General features: G+C 37.9%; 1 long non-coding RNA gene across 1 annotated transcript; it reads right to left on the bottom strand.

Moving 5' to 3' along the window:
- Positions 1 to 407: 407 nt before the first annotated feature.
- On the bottom strand, positions 408 to 3,789 carry LOC105375703 (uncharacterized). Its single transcript, XR_928527.3, has 3 exons — positions 3,666 to 3,789; positions 3,478 to 3,578; positions 408 to 1,544 (listed from the first exon to the last, which is right to left on the bottom strand). It is a non-coding gene; the product is annotated as an uncharacterized LOC105375703 (long non-coding RNA).
- Between the last annotated feature and the right edge of the window lie 5,842 nt (positions 3,790 to 9,631).

Below are 9,631 nucleotides of genomic sequence, written 5' to 3' on the forward strand. Positions count from 1 at the left end.
GGCACAAAACTGAATTCATCTTTTAAGTTCAGGAGACATCATTATCTTTCTGGGGGCCCAAAGGTGCATCTGACTAAAAAGATCACATTACGCCCACCCTGGCTGTACCTGCAGCCTGAAGATTAACAGATAAGTGAATGACTAGACAGTCAGGAAAACAATAAAAATTCTCTTCAGAAAAGATGAGGGAAAAAATGAGAATATTTTACCTAGCAAGCCTAATATTATTAAATTAGGCTTTCTTAATGGATTAGGTTTTGCTTGGAAGTGGTAGTGGCCGCTCAGCAGGGACTGTTGAGAGAGTCCTGCTGAGTTCAGCACCTTGCCCTTGAACAAAAACAGTATCAAGTCATTCTATTAGCCCACACCCTGTAGGGTGCTGTCCACCCTGTAAAACACTGTGCAAAAATTGATCATCATTATATAGTCCTCTGATCACAAAGAACTTCATTGGAGATTCTCTACAGCAATATAGTTGACATTTTTATGGCAAGATTAATATTTTATAAGTGTCAAGTTGTCCTTTAGGATCAGCAAAATAAATTCTGAGGGTTGATTCTAATTCAACTCTAAACCATATCCTCTTAGCTAACCCATTAGAACTCAACACTACCAGGCTTTCTCTAGTTCATTTGCTTATTTTACTTGTTTATTGTCTTTCTCTCCATCTCCTAAAAGGTAAACTCCAGGATGGACCTGATTATGATCTGTCTCATCCACGGCTGGCTCTATCTCTAGCATCTAAATAACCTCAGACACTGAGAACAACATGTAGTAAATATCGCTGAATTAATTAATTGGGTAATGAAAACTTTAGTACTAACACTAGTAATAACATCTGTCCACAGGAAAACACTATAATAAAGATGATTTCTTCTTTATACTTATTATTTGTCCTTTCTCAATTCTGTTTTCTCCAACCTTACAAACTTTTTCCAAACTGGACAAATTATTTGTCAACAGTTTGCAGCTGGGCTATGAGTAATAAGAAAACATTCATAAAGCACTTTAAATTTCTGCCTTAAAGCATTATACGTAAGTAAAATAGGACATGTATGAGGGGCAACATATGCCAACTTGTATTATTCAAGAAATCAAACTTTTACTGGGTCTCTATGAGACAACAGTCACTTTCACACAAACTATTTTGATTAAACCTCACTAGATCCTCCAGGTGGAGAATGCGCTTCTAGGTTTACCAATTAGGAACAGTGCTTATACTGGTTGAGCCTATAGAGTAGCTATGATTTGAACATACTCTAATTCAGCATTTTGTCATAGCCTTGGTTTTTTCATATTTACTTTTCCATCCTAGCAGACACTTCAGTGCTGTGTTATTTTCCTATCCATACAGGGAATGTGCCTTCACAATGTGCCTTCACAATGGGGAAGAACTTGCCTTCATATAAAGATCTACTCATCAAAGCCAGCAAAGCCTGATATTTAAGAGCCCAGGCTCTGGTTGTAGGCTGTTCACAACTGGCTTCATCATTCATGGACAGAGTGACCTTGGGCTTAATACCTCTGTGTGTCAGTTGCCCCACCTGTAAAACAAAGATAATAAACAGTAAATTTCAACCATTGCTAATAACAAAGTAGACCACTGTCATTGTTAGTAACACACTATACAACTTCTTCATTTCTTTTGCAGGTTTTAAAACATGTCACCAAGCCTTCCATTTCTCTTCTTTTTTAAAAAAAAGTTGGAGTCAGGGGGTACATGTACAAGTTTTTTACCTGGGCATATTGCTTGATGCTGAAGTTTGAGGTGTGGGTGGTCCCCTCACCCAGTTAGTGAGCATAGTATCCAACAGGTGGTTTTTCAGCCCACGCTCCCCTCCCTCCTTTCCTGCTCTAGTAGGCTCCAGTGTCTATTGTTCCCATCTTTATTTCCATGTGTACTCAATTTTAGCTCCCAGTTATAAGTAAAAACATGCTATGTTTGGTTTTCTGTCCCTGTGTTAATTACCCTAGGATAATTGCCTCCAGTTGCATCCATGTTGCTACAAAAGACAAGATTTTGTTCTTTTTATGGCTGTATAGTATTCCACGGTGAATATGTACCACATTTTCTTTAATCCACTGTTGATAGGCACCTAGGTTGATTCCATATCTTTGCTATTGTAAACAGCCACGACTTCCATTTCAAGTAAGAAGTCCATTTTTGAGGAACTCCCTTTCTTGGAAATGAAAATGGTTTGGAATTTAGTAACAAAATCTGCCTAGAACTAGAGTAAGATTTAGAATATCTCACATATATGTATGGAAAAGAGAAATAAAAAAGAAAAGATTATAATATGAATGTTTCATAAAGATTGGCATGGCTTTAATCTTTCTTTTCTGTTCTATAAGTTTTTATAAGTTATGGAGACAAACCTATCGGCATCAAAGTCAAAATGCTGAAAAGAGCTCATCTCTTTTTCTGACAGCTCTGTCACTCTAGCCTTTATCATATGAGATTTTTTTTAAATAACACATTTGTTGAGATGTTTCACATGCCCTACGATTCACCCATTTAAAAATGTGCAATTCAATAATTTTTAATATATTCCCACAGTTATGCAACCATCACCACAAACAATTTCAGAATATTTTTATTGCTCCCCGCAAAAAACCTCATACCCATTTTCCCTCAACTTCCCCATCCCTAGACAACCAACAATTTACTTTCTGTCACTATGAGACATTTTTAAATGACAGATTCAAAGGTTAAATTAATACATGAATTAAAAATTATATAACAGAAAAGTTTTGTAACTAAAACGTAAATCATTTCTTGAATACTCAGAAATAAAAAATGTTAAAAATGTGTAAGAAATAAATGTTATAATCAACATGTACTTATATATCCTCTACTGTGGTGCTGACACTATAAAGGAGAGTAAGATGCTATGTATTCAGAAAGAATTTGAGAAAACGGGACATGAATAAATAAGAAGCACAGATAAAGTGTCAGTGAAGAAGACCAAGACATGAGTTCTATGGGCACTCAAAAGAGGAAGGGGTCCCTGATGACTGTGGTAGACAATGAAAAGTAAATCAGGCAGTAAGGGATGGGAAAGACTGAGATAAGCAAAGAGAAGGGGGGCAGGAATTTTAATTTTCAACTACAGGTAAAACCTGTGCTTTGTTTATAATGCAAAGATTCCAAAAGAAGTCACCCAAATCACTCTGAGTTATCAGAGTTACAATATATTTACATGAATATTAAATGGATCCATCCTATAACTTTTCTTAAAACATTTTGGAAATAATTTTTAAATTAAATGATATCTGATCAGCTTGTTTTTTTTTGTTGTTCATTATAAAATGTCAAATTTTGCCATATGGATAAAGTTGCTATTTCTGAAATCAAAAGAATAAATATAAAAAAATGCAGAAAAAAACAAAAAAGATAACATACTGCAAAGAGACACACAAGCTTTTTAGAGTGGGAATTATGTTATGACTATGAAATGTACACTGTTTTAAACATACTTCTATATAAATCCATCCCCTCTGCCAGATCCTGAACTTCACTGGAGTCTTGAAGGGGGTCATTGAACAGAATCCGTCTTCCCTGCCTGCATTCTTAACAACTGAAAGATAAGACAAGGAATAGGGTTGGGAGAAGCCAAAATATTACCTTTATTACTGACAGAACGAGGCTGAAAGATGTGACTTACATCTGCAGGCAAATGTGATACCGAACTCTAGAATCTAAATCTCCAGATGGGTGGAAAGAGCCGCTGCTTAGAGGAACAGCTGAGAAGCCATGCCTTCTGCGTACACTTCACTCAGGAAGAAGAGGACGGCGGAGATAAGCATGCCCAGTTCTTTCTTCAAATGTATCAAGTAAATTAATCTACCTGCCCAGGGGCGAATAACTTGGTTGTCAAACTTGAGTGCTCAACAAAATCACCTGGAGGGCCTTGTTAAACCACAGGGTTGCATTTCTGACAAGTGCCCAGGTGATCTTGATGTTACTGGGCTGGATGGTGGGGTGATGGCAAGAGCACAAATTGAGAACCAAGGCATAGCAAATGGTCAAGAGCATCACATTTCCTAAGAGTGAGAAGGAACTATCCTCCACAACAACTTCCACAATGGCGCCTGCTTATCCTGGTGGCATTCTTTTCCCTTCCTCCATTCATAATGGGTGCAGGGTCTGGTGCACAGAGGCAATAGTTTGCTGGATTGAACTGAACACAAACGTTGCTTGACTTGTTCCAACTAAAATATGAAAACGATTTTTGAAAAAAATTAAAAAACGTCACTCTTGAACTTTCACCCATTTTTAAAACTAAACTTCATATGTGTTCATGTGAAGTTCTTGATTCTGATGCATCACTGATTCACCACTTCCTGGGGGCAGGCTGGATATGAAGTAGGAATGACTTGAGGCTACAATGCAGCAAACATGCCTATTTCTGTACAATTTTCCCCTGAAAGTACCAGGAACTCTTCCCCAAAGGGCATTTCCATCCCACTGTTTCTCAGGGGGATTTAGTAGTTTGAGTAAATGGGAAATTAAAACCAAGAGTTTGACTTTTCTGATATGACTCTAAACATTGGAAGGTTTACTTATCTTTCCTTATCTGGCAACTCCTTCTATTTATGCTCCCTTCCACTGCAGATAAATCCTTCATTCAACATTTCTAAATTATATTCAGACTTTTCACAGATAGAGAGAAAATTTTTATTCTCCATTTTGCAGTGAGTCATATAAAAAGCAATTTAGGGTACATTAAATTAAGGAAGATCCAGCTAATAAGACTTCACCAACTTCAGATTCTGAAAAATTTAAAGGAAACCAACGCCTGTAAGGAAGCAATTGTTATAATGGTAACATGAATCCAGAATCCAGAAATGATATAATTAACGCACTGGATTTTATAAAATCAGAAAAGCTTACTGGCAGGAATTTGCAAGAAATATGGAAAGAGTCTGGAGCCCTCGAATTCTATGAACTACTCTTTGACTGCCCTCTACTGGCTAGATTTCAGAGTGCTATTCAGACCGTGTAGTACTTGGTCTTAAGATTTTACGAGAAACATTCGCAGTGGGTTTTCAGAAAGCTTGTGTGATTCATTTTTTCCTATATTTCTGTACAACCAAAATCAATGCCTTTAATCTATCTTTAAGCTTCGCTGATACAAATCTTGATTTTCGATTTGTGCTTGTCACTCTAATAGATTTTCAATAATAATAATAATAATAATAATAATAATAAAATCATTGTACTCAGGAATGACCCCAAATGAGGAACCCAATATATTACATCTTCCGAGAAAAAGACTTCTCTTCTTGTAATTTAGTAAAAGACATGATTTTCTGAATGTAGGGCCTGTCACAAGGGCTGTAGATTTGACTTTTATAATTCCTTTTTTGCATGTCATTTTGTCATTCTATACCTCAGTGTATCTCTATTTATTGATAGCACCAAAACACAGACATGTGGCATCTTTTTAATTGGAAAATAATGTTGTTTTGTAAGGTTTCAAGGAACATCAGTGAGATAATGTCTTAAAAACTTGGAGGGCACTTGTGGAAGTTTAGATGTTCAATATGGGTTTAGTTTTTAAATGTCTTAAGTGGAAAACTATAATCCTTACATCCTTAGTTTCTTGGCCTGTGAACTGATAGTACAGATGGGGACAGTTTAGATACAAAGAATATCTTATAAGCCAGGCCCCTGTGTCTCCTCTGTCCCCTTGTTACCAGGACTGAAATAGAATGACTGATGCTCCAAGGACACTCAGTGGCTGGTAGGGCAACCTATTCCTTCATCGAAATAAGCCTTCATCAAGGAATAGACGATGTCACACAATAGAAGGCTGAAAATATCTCCACTTTTCATCAAGAGAGGAGGTTTCTAGGACAAAGTTTCAGTCCTACCCATTATAGGACAAGTTGTTTCTGCAGAATAAAACCCTAAGATTGTGCAAAGGATAGAACTTGCACTAGAAACTTGAGGGTCTAAAATGTTATTCAACTTTATATTCTCCAAATCTAAATAAATCTGAGACTGAACGCACATCACATTGAGTTATCACGACATTAAGTTTTAGTCGTTATTATTTTGGGGGTTCTCCTACCCTAGGTTCAGATGAAGATCCCAGTAATCTTGTGTGGGATACAATATTTGGAATGGACCCTCCAATTATCCATCCTCCCTGATTCCCCTGACAGCAGCATCCAAGCCCACAGGTTCTGCTTTCACCCTGTCATACCATGGAGAGGGACCACAGGTACCCACTGTTCTCAGAACCTGCAGCCTTTCTCCCCCCTAGTCCTGGAAAATTTCCCCTTTCTATACCTCCCAAACACCTCTTTCTCCTACCTCTCTGAATCACCCACAAAAATCTCCTTAATGAGTTCCAGCTTTCACTGCATCCAAAGATGAAGTACTGTCTTTAGCATCAGCTGGAAGGCTTGCCAAAGACCTCCTTGGAGGCAGATAAGCATCAAGGCAGGTAAAATGCAAAAAATTAAATAAAGCTTGGTTTCCATCCTTTCTGATTCCTCCACATCGATGAAATTAAAACTCACATTGTTACATCAACAAATCATTCTGCCATATTTTCAAAATCAGAGAAAATGAACAGAAATGAGAAAGATAGGAGGTTGAGAAACTGGAAGAAGATTTAAATAAGAGGCCCTCTTTCTCTGGGTATTTTTAATTCATGTTTAGCTTATTTATTTATTTATTTTTGCTGCCACCTGCTGGTGCACACCGATTCCTAGTGCACTGAGCCAGTGAGAGAGAAAATTCATGCTTTAATTCACTGCAGCCTGCACAGATCCGTAAGGTTCAAAGATAAGCCCCTTCAGAAAATCAGTCTTAAAAGGTGACCAGTAAAATACTTATAATGCTTTTTTTTTTTTTTTTTTTTTGAGACGGAGTCTCACTCTGTCGCCCAGGCTGGAGTGCAGTGGCGTGATCTCCACTCACTGCAGGCTCCGCCTCCCAGGTTCACGCCATTCTCCTGCCTCAGCCTCCCGAGTAGCTGGGACTACAGGCGCCCGCCACCACGCCCGGCTAATTTTTTGTATTTTTAGTAGAGACGGAGTTTCACTGTGTTAGCCAGGATGATCTCGATCTCCTGATCTCATGATCCGCCCGCCTTGGCCTCCCAAAGTGCTGGGATTACAGGCGTGAGCCACCGCGCCTGGACATAATGCTTTAAATACAAATACACTTGTAATATACTGGGGGAGAGGTCTTAGAGGAAAATGATGACGATTACAATACCGGAGGTCAGTAGGATGGAGCCAGAATGAAGCTAATATTTGGGAGGTTTTATAAATGCCTTGGGATGCAGTGCTTCTATGTTTGTAACATGGTCTTCTGGGCTCCTATAGTTATTCATGCAGTGACAGAAGATAAAGTAATCAGAGTATATTTAAGCTACTAAATACATGTTCCACTGAAGACTTGCTCATCTCTTGCCCATTTTACTGTTTATCTAAAATGGCATCATCTAATGTTGATAGAATCTTATTTTTAAAAAAATGATGAGCAACAGTATGTAGCCTAAAATCGCTCCAAAATGCCATCAGGAAACAAAATAATAAATTCTACAATTCTAAATTAATTAGACTCCATGCTACATACAACAGCCTTAATATACAAGGATTGGCTTGATGTGATTCAGTGTATATTCTGGAATTAATATGCTGAGAGCTTTTCATCCAAAATTAAGAAAACCCCAGAAGATCCAATGCAGAGGTATGTTGTGTATATTCTTGACTATATATAGAATCAAATTCTAGGCTATAAGGTTTCTCAGGGTCCTGGATTCAGCATGGACTAAAATATGTACTGACAGGATGGCATTATAGAAGGCCAGCATCCTGTAAGCCTCATCAGTCACTCTTGAGAGATTTCAGTTTCACAGAAAGAATCAGCCACTACCGAAAACATTGCTGCTTACAGTTCAGGCTTAAGCAACTGTCTAAACATCACAAATTAAGACATATCTCAGGTCATGATGGAGTCATAGATACAGAGTTCATGATAAAGTCATTCAACATTGCTAATTGAGTGAACAAAATGTGGCATTTAGAGAATACACCCAATAGACTATTGATATTGTTTGGCTTTGTATCCCCACCTAAATCTCATCATGAATTGTAATCCCCAGGTGTTGAGGGAAGAGCCTGGTGGGAGGTGATTGGATCATGGGGTTAGTTTCCCCTATGCTGTTCTCGTGATAGTAAGTGAGTTCTCACGAGATATGAAGGTTTTATAAGTGTTTGGCAAGTTCCTCGTTTGCTTGCTTCTCTCTCCTGCCACCTCGGGAAGATGTGCCTGCTTTCCCTTCTGCCATGATTGTAAATTTTCTGAGGCCTCCCCAGGCACACAGAACTGTGAGTCAATTAAATCTCTTTTCTTCATAAATTTCCCAGTCTCGGGTAGCAGTGTGAGAACGGACTAATACAACTGTATATTAGTAAACTTTTATTCACAAATGTCTCCCAACTTGAACTAGTTTAGAAAAAATGGGAATTTGATGGTTAATAGAATTCAACTGCAGTTTATAAAGCCAAGCCACAAGAAGATTGGGGATCTGGGTGGGCCTTCGAAATAGCTAAAATAAGGTCTTGGGTGCTTACAGTGTTCATGAGGTATGCTTCTCAATTCATAACAGCTTTATCTATGGTCTATAACGTTTTCTTTCACAAGGAGACATTATTCCCTCTCCCAGGTTCTTAGCTTCCCATTTCCACCACTCCCGCCACTTACAATTCCTAGGGAAAAGCACTGATTACATTGAGTCAAGGGTCCACACCTGGACCAACCAGGTGTGGTGAGAGGAAGCATGGAGTAACAGTTTAGAGCAGGAAACCTGAATCCTAACTTCTCCAGGTGTGTCAGTTTCTTGATAAGGAGGGATACAATAATGCCTAGCTCTGAAGTTTATTGTGGAAATTAAGAGATACGATACGTAGTGCTTAAAACTGTGTCAAATGTCCATTGACAGATGAATGGATTTTTAAAATGTAGTGCCTACATATAACAGGATATTATTCTGCCTTAAAAAAGAAAAAAATCCTACCATTTGTAACAACATGGATGAACCTGGAGGACATTACACAAACTGAAATAAGCCAGTTACAAATGGCAAATACTGCATGATTGCACTTATATGAGCTATCTAAAATAGTCAACTCATCAGATAGTAGAATGATGGTTGCCAGGGGCTGGGGGAAAGGGGAAATGGGGAATTGTTGTTCAATGCGTATAAAGTTTCAGTTACACAAGACAAATAGTTCTGGAGGTCTGCTGTACAACATAATGCCTATAGTTAACAGTATGGTATTGTGCACTTAAATATTTGTGGAAAAAGTAGATCCCATATTAAGTGTTCTTAGCACAAAAAAAGAAAAGAGTAAACGGAAGAGAGGAAGGAAGAAAGGAGAGAAGGGAAGGGAAAGGAAGAAAGAAACACAAAGAGACACAAGGAAACTTGGGGGTGATAGATATATTTATTACCTTTATTGTGGTGATAGTATAATGAGTGTATTCATATGTCCAAACTCAGCAAATTGTATACATTGAACATGTGCAATGTTTTCTGTATATCAATGATACCTCAGCAAAGTTGTTAACAAAAACTATGACTGACACAGAATAAGCACATTTTAA

Source organism: Homo sapiens, chromosome 8 (assembly GCF_000001405.40).
Source record: "Homo sapiens chromosome 8, GRCh38.p14 Primary Assembly".
NCBI lineage: Eukaryota > Metazoa > Chordata > Mammalia > Primates > Hominidae > Homo > Homo sapiens.